The sequence below is a fragment of the Homo sapiens genome, chromosome 12, assembly GCF_000001405.40.
Source record: "Homo sapiens chromosome 12, GRCh38.p14 Primary Assembly".
Classification (NCBI taxonomy): domain Eukaryota; kingdom Metazoa; phylum Chordata; class Mammalia; order Primates; family Hominidae; genus Homo; species Homo sapiens.
Genome location: NC_000012.12, coordinates 55,065,345 through 55,082,837, shown reverse-complemented (window position 1 = coordinate 55,082,837; position 17,493 = coordinate 55,065,345). Strand labels below are relative to the sequence as shown.

Sequence of the window (17,493 nt, the reverse complement as noted above, 5' to 3'; positions counted from 1 at the left end):
CAAGTCAATCCTAAGCCAAAAGAACAAAGATGGAGGCATCACACTACCTGACTTCAAACTATACTACAAGGCTACAGTAACCAAAACAGCATGGTACTGGTACCAAAACAGAGATCTAGATCAATGGAACAGAACAGAGCCCTCAGAAATAATGCCACACATCTACAACTATCTGATCTTTGACAAACCTGAGAAAAACAAGCAATGGGGAAAGGATTCCCTATTTAATAAATGGTGCTGGGAAAACTGGCTAGCCATATGTAGAAAGCTGAAACTGGATCCCTTCCTTACACCTTATACAAAAATCAATTCAAGATGGATTATAGACTTAAACGTTAGACCTAAAACCATAAAAACCCTAGAAGAAAACCTAGGCATTACCATTCAGGACATAGGCATGGGCAAGGACTTCATGTCTAAAACACCAAAAGCAATGGTAACAAAAGCCAAAATTGACAAATGGGATCTAATTAAACTAAAGAGCTTCTGCACAGCAAAAGAAACTATCATCATAGTGAACAGGCAACCTACAAAATGGGAGAAAATTTTCACAACCTACTCATCTGACAAGGGGCTAATATCCAGAATCTACAATGAACTCAAACAAATTTACAAGAAAAAAACAACCCCATCAAAAAGTGGGCGAAGGACATGAACAGACACTTCTCAAAAGAAGACATTTATGCAGCCAAAAAACACATGAAAAAATGCTCACCATCACTGGCCATCAGAGAAATGCAAATCAAAACCACAATGAGATACCATCTCACACCAGTTAGAATGGCAATCATTAAAAAGTCAGGAAACAACAGATGCTGGAGAGGATGTGGGGAAATAGGAACACTTTTACACTGTTGGTGGGACTGTAAACTAGTTCAACCATTGTGGAAGTCAGTGTGGCGATTCCTCAGGGATCTAGAACTGGAAATACCATTTGACCCAGCCATCCCATTACTGGGTATATACCCAAAGGACTATAAATCATGCTGCTATAAAGACACATGCACACGTATGTTTATTGCGGCATTATTCACAATAGCAAAGACTTGGAACCAACCCAAATGTCCAACAATGATAGACTGGATTAAGAAAATGTGGCACATATACACCATGGAATACTATGCAGCCATAAAAAATGATGAGTTCATGTCCTTTGTAGGGACATGGATGAAATTGGAAATCATCATTCTCAGTAAACTATCGCAAGAACAAAAAACCAAATGCCGCATATTCTCACTCATAGGTGGGAATTGGACAATGAGATCACATGGACACAGAAAGGGGAATATCACGCTCTGGGGACTGTTGTGGGGTGGGGGGAGGGGGGAGGGATAGCATTGGGAGATATTCCTAATGCTAGATGACAAGTTAGTGGGTGCAGCGCACCAGCATGGCACATGTATACATATGTAACTAACCTGCACAATCTGCACATGTACCCTAAAACTTAAAGTATAATAATAAAAAAAAAAGAAAATGATTTCCCAACCAGGAAATGTATGGTCATTTTAGTGTTATGTTATTAAGAAAGTCAGCTGGACTTTTTTATCCCTTCAGATTGAATTAGGATCCTAATGTTTCTTTTGTTTTGTATCTTTGTTTTCAATACAACAGAATATCACATTGTATAACATACATATTAAAAGACAGATTAAACACTACTTTTTTGAAACAGGAAATATCAGAAGTAAGACAAATAAACCAGTACAAAAAGTGGAAGTGTGTTACTCTTACATGCTTACTCCTCCAACCATCAAACACATGATGTAGCTCTCTGTTTTCTCCATCTCATCCAACACACACACACACACACACACACACACACACACACACACACAGCAATAGCTAATGTGATGACTTTTAATAGGTTTCTATACTAGTTATCACACTTCTTTAAGTGATAATACGATATTTTCTATTTTCTAGGATAATATTTTTAGCCTAGTACCTCAACATAACTAACTAGTACCTCAAAATAACCCTCAGATTCATCCATTTTTGTTTATTTTCACTGCTACAGGAATAATCCAGACTTAGCATCACCTTGACTTCACTTAATGTGTGTTTTTTTTAAATCATACCCCGATTTTCTTGTTCTTCTCAACCTTTGTTATTTTTAGTTTCTAGACTTGTCTTTTTAAAACACTATTTTACAGCTGCATAGTATTCCATGGTGTATATGTGCCACATTTTCTTTATCCAGTCTATCATTGATGGACATTTGGGTTGGTTCCAAGTCTTTGCTATTGTAAATAGTGCTGCAATAAACATATGCGTGCATGTGTCTTTATAGTAGAATGATTTGTAATCCTTTGGGTATATACCCAGTAATGGGATGGCTGGGTCAAATGGTATTTCCAGTTCCAGATCCCTGAGGAATCGCCACACTGACTTCCACAATGGTTGAACTAATTTACACTCCCACCAACAGTGTAAAAGCGTTCCTATTTGTCCACAGCCTCACCAGTATCTATTGTTTCCTGACTTTTTAATAATTGCCATTCTGACTGGCGTGAGATGGTATCTCATTGTGGTTGTGATTTCTATTTCTCTGATGATGTGGAGTAGTTTTTCATATGTTTGTTGACCTCATGTATCTCTTCTTTTGAGAAATGTTTGTTCATTCCCTTTACCCATTTTCTAATAGGGTTATTTGTTTTTTGCTTGTTGATTTGTTCAAGTTCTTTATAGATTCTGGATATTAGATATTGGTCTGATGCATAGTTAGTGAATATTTTCTCCCATTCTGTAGGTGGTCTGTTTACTCCGTTGATAGATATTTTTGTTGTGCAGAAGGTCTTTAGTTTAATTATATCCCACATGTCCATGTTTTATTTTGTTGCAATCGCTTTTGAGTACTTAGTCATAAATGCTTTCCCAATGCTGACATCCAGAATGATGTTTTCTAGGCTTTCTTCTAGGATTCTTATAGTTTGAGATCTTACATTTAAAACTTCAATCCATCTTGAGTTAATTTTTGTATATGGTGAAAGGTAGGGGCAAAATTTCATTCCTCAACATACAGCTAGCCAGCTATCTTAGCACCATTTATTGAATAAGGAGTCTTTTCCCCATTGCTTGTTTTTGTTGACTTTGTCAAAGATCAGATGTCTGTAGGTGTGCAGCTTTTTTTCTGTGTTCTGTATTCTGTTCCATTGGTTTACATGTCTGTTTTTGTACTAATACCATGCTGTTTTGGTTACTGTAGCCTTATAGTATAGTTTGAAGTCAGGTAATGTGATGCCTCCAGCTTTGTTCTTTTTATTCAGGATTGCTTTGGCTATCCAGGCTGTTTTCTTGTTCCATATAAATTTTAGAATGGTTTTTTCTAGTTCTGTGAAAAATGAGATGAGTAGTCTGATAGGAATAGTGTTGAATCTGTAGATTTCTTTGGGCAGTATGGCTATTTTACCAATATTGATTCTTTCTGTTCATAAGCATGAAATATTTTTCTATTTGTGTGTGTCATCTATGATTTCTTTAAGCAGTATTTTTTAGTTCTCTTTGCAGAGATCTTTCACTTCCTTGGTTAGATGTATTCCTAGGTATTTTAGTTTTGTGTGTGGCTACTAAAAATGAGATTGCATTCTGGATTTGGCTCTCAGCTTGAATATTATTGGTGTATAGAAAAGCTACTGATTTTTGTACACTGATTCTATATTCTGAAACTTTACTGAAGTTGTTTATCAGTTCTAGGAGGCTTTTGGCAGATTCTCTGGGCTTTTCTAGATATAGGATCATATCATCTATGAAGAGATATAGTTTGACTTCTATTTCTTTTCGGATGCCTTGCATTTCTTTTTTCACCTGACTGCTTTGGGTAGCACTTCCAGTACCATGATGAATAGGAGTGATGAGAGTGGACATCCTTGTCTTGTTCCAGTTCTCAAGGAGAATCCTTCCAGTTTTTGCCCATTCAGTAGGATGATGGCTGTGGGTTTGTCATAGATGACTCTTATTATTTTGAGGTATGTTCCTTTAATGACTAGTTTCTTGAGAGTTCCTATCTTGAGGGTTCTTATCATGAAGGGATGTTGGATTTTATCAAAAGCTGTGATGATCATACGGTTTTCAGTTTTAATTCTGTTTATGTGGTGAATCACACTTATTGATTTGCACATGTTGAACCAAACTTGCATTCCGACAACGAAGCCCACTCGTTCATGGTGAATTAGCTTTTTAACATGCTGTTAAATTCAGTTTTCCAGTAATCTGTTGAGGAATTTTGCATCTATATTCATCAGTGATATTGGCCTGTTAGTTTCTGTTTTTCACTGTGTTTTTGCCAGATTTTGGTATCAGGATGATGCTGGCTTCATAGAATGAGTCAGAGAGGAGTTCCTCCTCCTTGATTTTTTGGAATAGTTTTGGTAGAATTGGTACCAGCTCTTCTTTGTACATCTGGTAGAATTTGACTATGACTGTATCTGGTCTGGGGCTTTTTTTGGTTACTAGGTTTTTCATTACTGATTCGATTTTGGAACTCAATATTTGTGTGTTCAGTGTTTCAGTTTCTTCCTGATTCAATCTTGAAAGATTGTGTTTCAGGAATTTATCTATTTCCTCTATATTTTCTAGTTTGTGTGCATAGAGGTGTTCTTAATAGTGTTTGAGGATCTTTTGCATTTCTGGGGCATCGGTTGTAATGTCAACTTTGTTGTTTCTGATTGCGCTTTAAAAATTATCTTTAAATTAGGTAATTTGTACCATGCCTGGAGTAAAAAGCCAATTGAAAGACATAGAAAAGTAATAATATAAAATAATGTAACTAATGTATCAACTAATTAATAGGTGTCTATTAAATTTAAAATCTAAATATGCTGTATCATTTGCTTTAAGAAAAATAACTATAAGATATATGCAGATATATTTAATGTTAACAGCAAATATCTCTGGAAAATAAGCTTACACATATAATTCAGATTTTAGATTTTGAATAGAAGCAGTTTTTACTATGCAAGAAACTACTTATTTGATAGTATAGCAATTAAAAGTATGAGTTATTTAAAGAGCTGATGAAAGTTATAGACTTGATCCCTCTGAGGCAGATTCACCCATGATATTCTATACATAAATATAGATCTGTAGATTAAAAGATAGGACTCGTATATGTAGCTAGTTTAATAAATATTTAAGCTGCAAGTATAGAGATAATACAGACCAGATACCAAGGTGGATGTTATATCATAATGTAAAATCCACAGAGATGATGGGTAAACACCTATTTTAAAGTTTATAACACATCACATGCAGCAAGCTCTGCAATAGAAGAGTGGGTGCAAGATTTAGTTTAGTCTTCCTTTGCATAGGAATTCTTCTCTCCCATCTCTCTAACCTTTCATAATTGAAGTGGAGAAATGAAGAAAGAGGATAGGGAAATTCAGATTTGAAGATACTGTTATTATGATATACCGTCATAGCTCTCTTGCTAGGAAAAGCTTGAAAATTGACTATTTTACTAATGAGTTTTTGCAGGTTCTTCAAAAATTCTCCCCAATTCCTGAGTCTCTCTCCCCAATGGTTCCCTTGGTGAGAATAACTACTCAGAATTTCTATTCGTTATTTAGTTTTGCCTCAGCACTTAGAAACCCCACAGTATCACCAATTTCTCTCCACTGATATCTAGCATGTGCTAGGACTGCCTTTGGAATAGAATATTACAATAAAAATCCATTTCCACATCCTGAAACACTAGCTTCATCTAATATTTATATGCTCTGTGTGTAACACATGAAATCAAGAGTCTCAACTCAATTTAATCTGCATTTTTAAAATAAGAATGATAGCAAATTTCAGAAACTATCTTAGAAATTGATGATTCTTGCATAAATAATGAAATTGAGGAATAAATTAAGAAGTTCTTTGAAACCAATGAGAACAAAGAAATAACGTACCAGAATCTCTGGGATGCAACTAAAGCAGTGTTAAGAGAGAAATTTATAGCAGTAAATGCCCACATCAGAAAGCTAGAAAGATCTCAAATTGACACCTAACATCACAACTAAAAGAACTAGAGAAACAAGAGCACACAGATCCACAACCATCTGATCTTCAACAAACCTGACAAAAACAAACAATGGGGAAAGGATTCCTTATTTAATAAATGGTGCTGGGAAAACTGGCTAACCATATGCAGAAAATTGAAACTGGATCCCTTCCTTACACCTTATACAAAAATTAACTCAAGATGGATTAAAGACTTAAATGTAAAACCCAAAACTATAAAAACCCTAGAAGAAAATCTAAGCAATACCATTTAGGGCATAGGCATGGGCAAAGACTTCATGACAAAATTGCCAAAAGCAATTGCAACAAAAGTAAAAATTGACAGATGGGATCTAATTAAACTAAGGAGCTTCTGCACAGCAAAAGAAACTATCATCAGAGAAAAGAGGCAACCCATAGAGTGGGAAAAAATTTTTGTAATCTATCTATCTGACAAAAGTCCAATATCCAGAATCTACAAGGAATTTAAACAAATTTACATTAAAAAAAACCATTAAATGTGGGCAAATGACATGAACAGACACTTCTCAAAAGAAGACTTTCATGTGGTCAGTAAACACGAAAAAAAAAACTCAACATCACTGATCATTAGAGAAATGCAAATCAAAACCACAATGAGATGCCACCATCTCACTCCAGTCAGAATGGCAATTATAAAATGTCAAGAAACAACAGATGCTGGCAAGGATGCAGAGAAATAGAATGCTTTTACACTGTTGGTGGGAATGTAAATTAGTTCAACCGTTGGAGAAGATGGCGTGGTGATTCCTCAAAGATCTAGAACCCGAAATGCCATTTGAACTAGCAATCCCATTACTGAGTACATACTCAAAAGTAATATAAATCATCCTACTACAAAGATAAATGCATGCATATGTTCATTGCAGCACTACTCACAATAGCAAAGACATGGAATCAACCCAAATGCCCATCATGGATAGACTGGATAAAGAAAATGTGGTACATATTCACCATGGAATATTATGCAGCCATAAAAAAACAAGATCATGTCCTTTGCAGGGACATGGATGGAGCTGGAAGCTTTTATCCTTAGCAAACTAATACAGGAACAGAAAACCAAATACCGCAGGTTCTCATAAGCGGGAGCTGAACAATGAAAACATATGGACACAGGGAGGGGAACAATGCATACTGCGGCCTGTCAGGGTATGGGGTAGGGGGAGGGAGAGCATTAGGAGAAATAGCTAATGCATGCAGGCCTTAATATCTAGGTGATGGGTTGATAGGTGCAGCAAACCGCCATAGCACATGTTTACCTATGTAACTAACCTGCATAGCCTGTACATGTACCCTGAAACTTAAAATAAAAATTAAAATTAAAAAAAGAAATTGATTATTCTTTTTTAATTATGAAGAATAAATCATTTTATTAATTGAATCCAAGGTCTGTTATTCATGTTAAATATATCCTTTAGAAGTAATATTAGAAGAGGTGGCTAAATAATTTTGTCAATTGAGATTGCCCAGAAGCTTCTTCAGTTTTAGAAGTTGGAGAAGATGAGTTAAACCCAATAAAAGTCACTGGTTAGTGATTTATAGACAATGTCAAGTAGTCTATGAATCATTTAGGGGGTTTGAATTGGAACTCTACATATAGAAAAAACATGTCTCCTAGTCTCCCAATCACTAGTGCTCTTAGAACTTCTCTTTCATCATTTAACAATTGCAACTACAACACAAAAACTTTCTTCATTTTCAGTCCTATCCAACAAACCCAGAATCTCCCCACTGGGATTTATTATATTCATACTGTTTCTAGGCAGAAAATAGTTTTCATTAAGATGTAAATTTAATGAATTTCTGAGCAACTTGTTTCTGCTCCATTTGGCATGGTGCCTTGCCGGCTTAGTCCAGGTGCTTCCTAATCGTCATAAAAGTGGAAACAAAGAGCCGAAGACCAGCTTTAAGCAAATGTTTTCTGTTAGACTTTTCAACCTGCCAATAACTTTTTCATGTTGTTTGCTTTTTATCAAAGCAATTGGGAAAAAAAATAGAATTCCATGATCTTTAGATGAATAGATGTTTATTTTAAATTTAGGAAGTCCCTCACCATCTCATTATTTTTATCCCTAGCTCAAACATGAATGGAAACATGCTTAAGAACAGCCACGCTGATTGAAAATTTGTAAGAATTATACATAAAACATACATATGTGAACAATTTCAAACAAAAAGGGAACACAGAAGACTAAACATGACACTTAAGGAGAAAATACAGTGACATGTTATAGAAAAAATTAGAAATATCTACAATACAGAGAGATCTGGAAAACCCTTCAGAAATAAACAGCAGATGATCTTAAAAGAAGAATGATGTTGCCATTTGATTTCTTAAAGGTTGCACTGAAAGAATTGAGTCAAGAAGTTAGAATCTAAAATTTTATAACGTAAGTGTAAGGATATCATAAAAATATTCTCAGATAAACAAAGCCTAAGAAACTGTACCACAATAAATGTAACTTTTAAGAATTCTTGGAAGAAGCATAAAGCAGTAGAATAACATAATGAATAAGTTTAAAATCCAGCTCCTCCATTTGATAGCTCTGTCATTGATGACCTCAGGTAAGACATTTAACCTCCTTAAACTTTAATTTCGTCATCTTTAAAGCAGGAACAATGATAGTACATATCCCAGAGGACTATGATGATTAAATAGATTAATGTGGCCAGGCGCAGTGGCTCATGCCTGTAATACCAGCACTTTGGGAGGCCAGGGTGGGTGGATCACCTGAGGTCAGAAGTTCGAGACCAGCCTGCCCAATACGGCGAAACCCCGACTCTACTAAAAATACCAAAATTAGCCAGGCGTGGTGGCATGCTCCTGTAGTCCCAGCTACTTGGGAGGCTGAGACAGGAGAATTTTTTGAACCCAGGAGGTGGAGGTTGCAGTGAACTGAGATCACGCCACTGCAGTCCAGTCTGGGCGACAGAGCAAGACTCCATCTCAAAAATAAATAAATAAATAAATAAATAAATAAATAAATAAGATTAATGTATTTCATACTTTTATAAGACTACAGAAACAACAGTAAGCATTCTATTAGTGTTGTCTACTAAAACCTTTTGACATCATATTCAATGGTGAAAAGAAGATAAAGGCATACAGATTGGTCAAGAAGAAGTTTAAATTTCCTTATTCAAAATTACATAATTTTGCATATAGAAAATCCTAAGGATCTAGCCCCCTTACCACCCTCAAAAAACTGCTAAAACCGAAAGATAAATCTAAAAAAATCTTGGGATACAAAATTAATATATAAAAATCAATTTATTACTATATACTAACAACAGAAATTGTAAAATTAAATTTATTTTAATATTAAAAGTACCATTTATAATATCAAAATAAAGGTATAAATTTTATCAAGGATGTTTAATATTTCTACATTTAAAACTACAAAATATTGCTACAAAAAAATCTAAGTAAATGAAGATATCCTAAGGATTCCAAATTTTAAAAGAATGTGTTCCTTTGGGTGAAAATAACAACATATTGTAGGAAAATAAATCAGAGATTTTCCTAGTAAACTAGTGCATGCGGACAACTCAAACTACCGCAAGGTGGCAGCACATCCCCATGATAGCACCATCAATACTTGGCCTAGTCAGTGGTGAAAAGTCATGATGGGCTTCTGAGAGGATGTTCCTATTAAATCCTAAGTATTCGATCTACAAAGAACTAGGATCTTTTGATCAATTGAGCCCACATTTTCCTTCAGAGTCCAAAGAGGAAACTGAATTTCTGAAAATGTAGGCGACTTATCAAAGGTCAAAAATAGTTCATGACAGAACCAGGATTAGAACCTGATCTTTTAGTTTCCAGGGCAGCTCCTTCACAGTATTATAAACATTCACTGTGGCCTTTCTCTATCCCAGATCCTCTAGGGACTGTTATTTCTAAGAGAAATGATACGGTGGAATAACAAAATATGTAAACTAAGTAGTGAGCAAAATTTTTGCTTAGGTCCTCCTGATAGAGGCAGGAGGCAGAGAAATTCTAGGCAGACGGGGCGGGTCCCCGGTGAAAACCCACCTTCATGCCAAAGTGGCCTGAGACCTGCAGCCCAAAGTGAGAACTTCCATTCCTCTTTGCCCACTCTCTCCCAATTGGCTCTTTCTGAGTAATGTCTTTTTACCAGTCAAACATGGCCTTTTCCAAAACTACCTATGGCCTGCCCCCACTCCCATCCTGTGCTTATAAAGACCCCAGACTCAGTCAGTAGAGAAGAGAGGCAGCTTGACTTCACTGAGGTGGCTTGACTTCAGGGAATAGCTGGCTGGACTTCGTGAAAGAGCCAGCCGGACTTTGGGGGAAAGACTACCTGCTTGTCCCATCCCCTGTCCAGCTCCCCTGTCCACTGAGAACAATTTCCATCACTTAATAAAATTCTCCGCCTTCACCATCCTTCAAGGCTAACCTCATTCTTCTTGTCCAGCATCCAAGAGCTCAGAACCCACTGAGTGCAGGTACCCAAAAAAGGCTGCCACATTGGCTCTTTGCCCTTGCCAGCAGAGGGCAGCCACCCCACACAATGAGGCAACGGGCCAACCGAGCTGCTAAGACACTGCTGTCTGCAGATGGCAGAGCTATGAGAGCACTGCAAACATGCCCTCTGGGGTTTTGGGGTGGCAGGCACCCCCACCTGGGCACCACTGCAGGCTCCACACTGAGCTTGCTCCTGCTGGTGCCCAAAGCAGCTGGCTGGATCCCACTCACTTACTCACATGCTCTCTCTCACAAAGGGTTGAGTGTGGTGGGCCAAGTAAACAGGGCACCCCTGTCATTAGTCTGACAAAGGGGCTGAGAAAAATCCTGCATCACTCCAGACCTTTTTCTAGTTCCAGCTCTCCCTGACCTAACACTCTCCTTTCAGTATCTTCCCATTTCCTACCCCCTTTCCCACAACAAAATAGGAGATATTCTGATATCAAGAGCCTTATTCGTATTTTGGCTGAACTTCATTTGTTTATTTTGATGATAAAAGGAATGGATATCTCTCACGTTTAAGTAATATTGGGCTATAGAAGTAGATAAACCTTTTACTTGACCTTAAAGTCAGATTCTCATTAAAGCTGAACCCAGTCAGGTAACTAAATATTCTGGTTTTCCTGGGCCTGAGAGGTTTCTCAGTTCTAAAACAGGGAAAGTTCTGAGGTGGGCAACCAGGATGGTTGGTCACCCTAGCTCATTTATGTGAAACTGGGGTTTGTGGTGTGATGTACAACATGATGGACCAGACAAAACAAAATGCATCTGACCATCCCTTTTTGTACCTCTTGCCATCTCTCACTTCACTTCAGCCAACATATATAGGACTACTAAATGTAAGGCTCTGCTATGGTTTGAATGTTTTTGTCTACTCCAAACTCATGTGTTGGAAACTTAATCATCAATGTAACAGTGTTGGGAGGTGGCACCAAATGGGAGGTGTTTAGGTCATGAGGGCTCAGTCCTAATGAATGAATTAATGTTGCAATAAAGGAGCTTTTGGAAGTGGGTTCCCCTTCTGCTCTTCTGCCATGTGAGGAACAGTGTTCCTCCCCTCTGGAGGATGCAGCATTCAAGGCACCATCTTGGAAGCAGACACCAAGCCTGCCAGTGTCTTGACCTTGGACATCCCAGTCTCCAGAACTGTAAGAAATAAATTTCTCTTCTTAATAAGTTTCCCCAGAATACACTATAATGTATTCTGTTACAGCAACAAAAAACTAATCAAGACACACACTGTGCTAGGCCACAGGAATTCAAGGATGAAATATAGTATCCCTACTCTGAGTAGGGTAGCAAATTTTTGCACAAATATGATTCCTGGACAAAATTTTTACTAAATCTGCTTTAGGAAAATTCTCATATCAACCTGGCTTATTTTACAAATACAGTAAATCAAATATGTATATACCCTTTTGTGCCTATTTCTAACAAAACATAGTCATTTTTTTCAAAACTGTAGATAGCTTGTGATAATAGCTAACTTCTGCCAACTCCTTACCAATTTTCTGGAATTCTGCTCTCTGTCTGACTCTAATAACTCTTTGAGGGAAAATCTGTTATTGTCCTCAGGCTTCAAACCAGTAAATTGAGGACTAAATAAGAAAAGTACAATTAATCAAGGACAACATCATACAAATAACAGTGGGAAAAGTAGGTTTCAAGCCCAAATCTGTTGACTCTAAAGCCTATGCCCTCACCCACTCCACTGTACCACTTCTCATCTAGAGGGGATCTTGTTCTGTCAAAAACTTTCTGCATTAATGAAAATGTCTTATATCTGCTCTTTCCAGTATAGAGTAGCCCCTAGCCACACATGACCATTGAACATATGAAATATTGACTTATGTGACTGAGGGACTGAATTTTTAACTTTATTTCATTTTAATTAATTTAAATAGTCACATAGGACTAATGGCTACTGTATTGGACAGCACAGGCCTGGGTTTGTATTATGTCATGTGAATGTAACAGAGTAGATCAATGTAGTGTAACGTAAAAAGAGTGGACATTAGAATCAGACTGTTCAGCCTGCTATTCGTGCCCACACCACTCAACCACCGTGTGAATTAGAGTAACATTTTTTTCTTTAAATCTCTCTGAGACTCAGTTGCCTCATCTATAAAATGAGAATAATTATAATACTACTAGATAGTTGCTGTAAGTTTTAAAGAGATATATACAGTATTTGGCACTAATAATCAATAAACATGTTTCATTTGCCCCTTAAAGATTTAAATGGTTGAGAAGGAAATTGCATGAGCTTTATTTGTCTAATATTTCTTCAAATATTTGACAATCTAAGTCAGAAAATTCTTCTGTATCTCTCTCATTTTGATATAAGTTGGTTTCTTTCATTATATTTTCTCTCTAGAATTGTTGTTGGGATTAAAGTCAGAATGATAAACGTAAAATAGCCCACAGTTATCTCAGTCACCAGCACGTAATTAAGCTCAGTAAGTATTTTTCCTCTCCAGTCCTTCAGCTAGGACTCAGAAAAATTTGTTTTTGAAAAAAAATCCACAAACATCCTGGATGCAGTGGTCAGGGGGAACTTACCGCTACTTCTTCGACGTCAAAGGATAACTGAATTCTCACTTTTGGCTCAGGCATGTGCAAGAAACAGGCACTATACCATCATTTCATGGGTGAGTCTATATTACGATGGTTGAAGACAGTGTAATCTAATGGACGGTGCCAGGAGGGTCATGAGAAGAAGCCAGGCTCTAGTTTTATTTCAATGCTGACCAGTTCTGTGACAAGTCGCTTTCTCATTCAGTACCTCAGATTTCCCAGCTAGGAAGTGGGTAGAATCACCTCAGATCTCCCTCAGAATTCTGTTAGGATGAAGATCCTGAATAATATGAAACTTCTCAGTAGTATAAACTACATTTTCATGTTAACAGTATCTCTTGACCATCTACCATACCACTATGAATTATATAAATAATATTTTAAAAACACTTTTATGAACTGTAAAGCATTAATCATTACGTAAAACAGAAAAAATGTCATCCTCATTTTAATAATTTGGAAATGGATTTTCAACAAATTGATTTGTCCAAGCCATACTCAAGTCCAATATCCTAGACCACACAACCACTAACTTGATCACACTCTTGCAGAGAAAGAGGCTAAAACTTGATCCATGGTGTATTTAAAGAAATTCATAGGCTGGGCCCAGTGGCTCACACCTGTAATCCCAGCACTTTGGGAGGCCAAGGCAGGAGGATCACTTGAAGTCAGGAGTTCAAGACCACCCTGGACAACATAATGAAATCCCATCTCTACTAAAAATACAAAACTTAGCCAGGCATGGTGGTACACGCCTGTAATCTCAGCTACTCAGGAGGCTGAGGCAAGAGAATCACTTGAACCCAGGAGGTGGAGGTTGCAGTGAGCTGAGATCGCACCACTGCACTCCAGCCTGGACGACAAAGAGAGACTCAGTCTAAAAAATTAAAATAAAATAAAATAATTGGTAGGTTTAGCCTCTGGTGAAAGCGGTATGATTGGCGCTTCAGAAGAACTTGCTTGAATGAAAAGTGTTACAAGACGCTGGAATCAGCTGACTGGGGACAGGTCTGGGGAGTGTGGGCTGGATGGCTGGGCCTTGGTGCTGCTCCTCCCTGTTCTCTCTCCCAGTAGCCTGTGCAGAAGGTGATTGAGGAACAGCCTTTCCAAGCTGCAGTTTTCCTTGTCAGCCACTAGGTGGATACCCAGTGTAATCCTGAGGAGCTAATGGAAATGGCTTAGAGGGTTTAGGATTTCCAGAGTTAATGGCCCCATGGGGAGGGACTAGGCCAGGGCTGCAGGCGAGTGAACAGACTCTCAACAGCACGATTAAGCCCTGAGATTTAATCATTTGCTCAGAAGTAGACATGAAAACAAAATCATAGCAGTCCCCCAATCCTGTCCACACCCTGGTCATTCCTGCCACTGCAGGATCCTTCTTTGGACTTTCAGGGTTCAAATCTCAGTCCCCCTTAGCATCCTTCCAGCCCTGGAACACCAGCATTCTAGAAATCATGACCCAGAGCTCAAGTGTCAGGTTAGGGCCTAGCCCTGGGTGTGAGAGGTGTTGACCCCTCTCAGAACCTGTTAAATCAGAAAAGAACTCTGTCTGAAGTTACAAACGGAGGCTGACCAGGAAGAGACAGCAGGGACAAGTAACCTGTGCAGAGGCTTCTGAGGATGGTGAAGAGAGTGAAAAATAAGTCTTTGGCAAGGAAGAAGCTTTTTATTTTGCACTTGTTTCCCTAATCCAAATTGCAAAAGCCAGTCTATAAAATAACCCCTGGTATGTATACCCCCGTTGGGTCTTTTCTTCTACCCAGTAGGAAGGTCTGACACACGCCCCTCCTGGATGCCCCTCAATGACTCCTTCCTCAAACTGTTGCTGCTGCGGAGCCATCTGTCACCCTCCCAGCGTCTGCAGCCCTCTCTGGAAAGCTCAGCTCCCAGCAAGCTGAGGCCCAGGTTCAGGGACGGATGCCACAGTCACAGAGGATCACTGCTAAATGGCGACGGCACGGAGGAAAAAACAGACTCATTTTAAACTTTACAGAAGTAAAGAACACTCTAGATATTTGTTTATAATTCCAATAAATATGTGTGGGACAGATTCCATGAGTAAGACGTTATTTTTAAAGGCTAGCTCCTGACCCCAACAATCATAAAGTATGCCCTTACTGATGGAGCAAGAAAGCACTGTATAATCTGTAACACTTTGCCAATCAATCAATACCTGTTAAAATTGTAAATTTTGAAGATGAAAAGGTACTTAAATTCATTATATATACAGTTATAGATATACATATGTGTGTGTGTGTATATATATAGATATACATATATATATATATATATACATGAGAGATCATATATTTTTCAGGCATGAGGGTCTGATGGGATGAGAATGGGGATGGGAATAAAAGGAGGCTACCCACTTCTCTAAATGAGGGTCTGAACTGCAGCTGGGAATTCAGTAAAAAAAAAAGAAATTTAAGATTAAAAAGTGATAAATAACAGATGAAGTAACAAACTATCATGAAGACTTAAAGGAAGGAGCCAGAACCCATTTAGCTGATTTCAATAAGTCAGGCAAGATTGAAATAGTTCATGGAGGGGAGAAAAGGGGGCTTGAAAAAAATAAGAATCTCAATCAAAGGGATACGTAAGAGCAAAAGCACTGTAACTAAGAAAATCCAAAAGCCAAGTCTGCATTAAATGGGGAAAAAATATGGTCTGGTTTGGCAAGTGTATAAAGTACATTATTAGGAAGTATTTGAATAAGTGATCAGAGTGGTAGATTAAGACTGTTGTGTGGAGGCTTTGAATGCCAGACTATTCTCAATATTACTACTTACTTCAATAAGAAATTAGGAAGGTCTTGTAATTTCTTTTAAAAAGTGTTCCAAAAGATACCGTCAAAGATTAAGCACCAGGAAAGCCAAAGAAAGGGACATGGTTATTCTGTGTCTAAGTTTCTCAACTCCAATCAAAGAATCAAAATCTCAGCTGCCTAGATCTGTCCATTCGGTCATCCTCTGATCCAACTGCCAACCCCACCATCCACCCATATCGCCCCTTGGGGAGAACACCTAGTCCCTGAGCTGATCTCAGCCTTGAATTTGCACCAATGTCTCTGATTAGCAGGAATATTCCTAATTTTATATTATAAAAATTTTTCCTCATAAATACATCAACTTTGGATTTTTAAAAGAATACGTTTATACAGTAAATCATGTTTGCTTTCATTGACAAAAGACAGGATAGAGAGGTGAGTAGTAAGGGCTATGGACAAGGTATATCTAGCAAAATTTTAAAAATGCAACAAGATGTCAAGGAAACAAAGTGAAAAACAAAAACAAAATAAATTATGTATATATCAAATTGCAAAGCAATTCTAGTGAAGTTTGAAAGTAATGTGGGAGATTCAAAGTAAGTAATCAGATGAAGTATAAAACCAATTGTCAAACCTGCAGATATTTTATCTGCATGCCAAATATTCTGCCTCTTTGAACATCACTGAGTAACTAATCAGTTTTTTCAAAAATCCATTCAGTTACATCCAGCAGAACAAAGATAAACACATGACCTACAAATTTGCATGATGCTCTGTTCACTTTTGGCATTTGGGGGGTAATAGTAAAACGAATGAGGTGTCTACTCATGCCACCTTTATGCTGATGTCCTAACATGCTAATATTTAGGATAGCTAGCTATGAGGCTGCCCTCTCTCAGTTCCCATAGCCCCAGAAATATGAGATTCTTCCCAAACAAAATGGTCTGTGGCATAGGCAAGCAATTCTATTGTTACTTTCTTACCCTTTTCCACCCTAAACCCCTGCCTATACCTCCAGGTCTCTCTTCTATTTTTCTGTCTCAGTCTCTCTCTGGCATATGTGAAGGGCTAGAAACTGCCCTCCCCAATCCCTGTCCACACTGGAAGAAAATGAACACAAGAGAGCAGAGCTATTCCCCCAGGGCTCCACATGGCTGATTTCCATAGGAAACAATCAACTTGACTCTGGTCTGATTGTTCGGGTGTAGAGGCTGGATGAGAGGGAGGTGGAGGTAGCCCTGAGAAGGGCAGCTCTGCCCACGGCTCTAATGAGAGTCAGGACTGAGACTGGGATCATGACAGATGGGGTATGAATACCAGACCGGCATCTTGAAAAAGTTTCTCATGGGCCTGCAGAGGGATAGGAGCGGAGACCAGATCTGGGGCCATCCCTGCTTCTGACCCACCCTCCACTTATCAAAGAGGCAATGAGCAATCTACAGCTCCCTAGACAAGTTTTGGTGAAAATATGCCATCCTAAGAAGACAACAAACTTTCCTCCGGGAAACAATCGTTTGTTGAGGGCAACTTCACCAAAATATACCATTCCCAGAGCCAGTATACAGCCACTGACATTGAATCTTGTCACTTCTCTGTGTAGAAATGCCACAATGTCTCCCCATGGTCAGCAGGG

The 17,493-nt window shown here is 38.1% G+C and overlaps 2 annotated features.

Annotated features, from left to right (window-relative positions):
• Positions 13,969–14,519: an enhancer, noted in NCBI's record as "OCT4-NANOG hESC enhancer chr12:55462103-55462653 (GRCh37/hg19 assembly coordinates)". NCBI's record gives its function as "activates a minimal SCP1, AML or CMV promoter by ChIP-STARR-seq in naive H9 embryonic stem cells {active_cell/tissue: H9 hESC(naive)}" and the evidence as "EXISTENCE:reporter gene assay evidence [ECO:0000049][PMID:30033119]".
• Positions 14,099–14,393: a silencer, noted in NCBI's record as "tiled region #1601; HepG2 Repressive non-DNase unmatched - State 12:CtcfO". NCBI's record gives its function as "represses a minimal TATA promoter and a strong SV40 promoter by Sharpr-MPRA in HepG2 cells {active_cell/tissue: HepG2}" and the evidence as "EXISTENCE:reporter gene assay evidence [ECO:0000049][PMID:27701403]".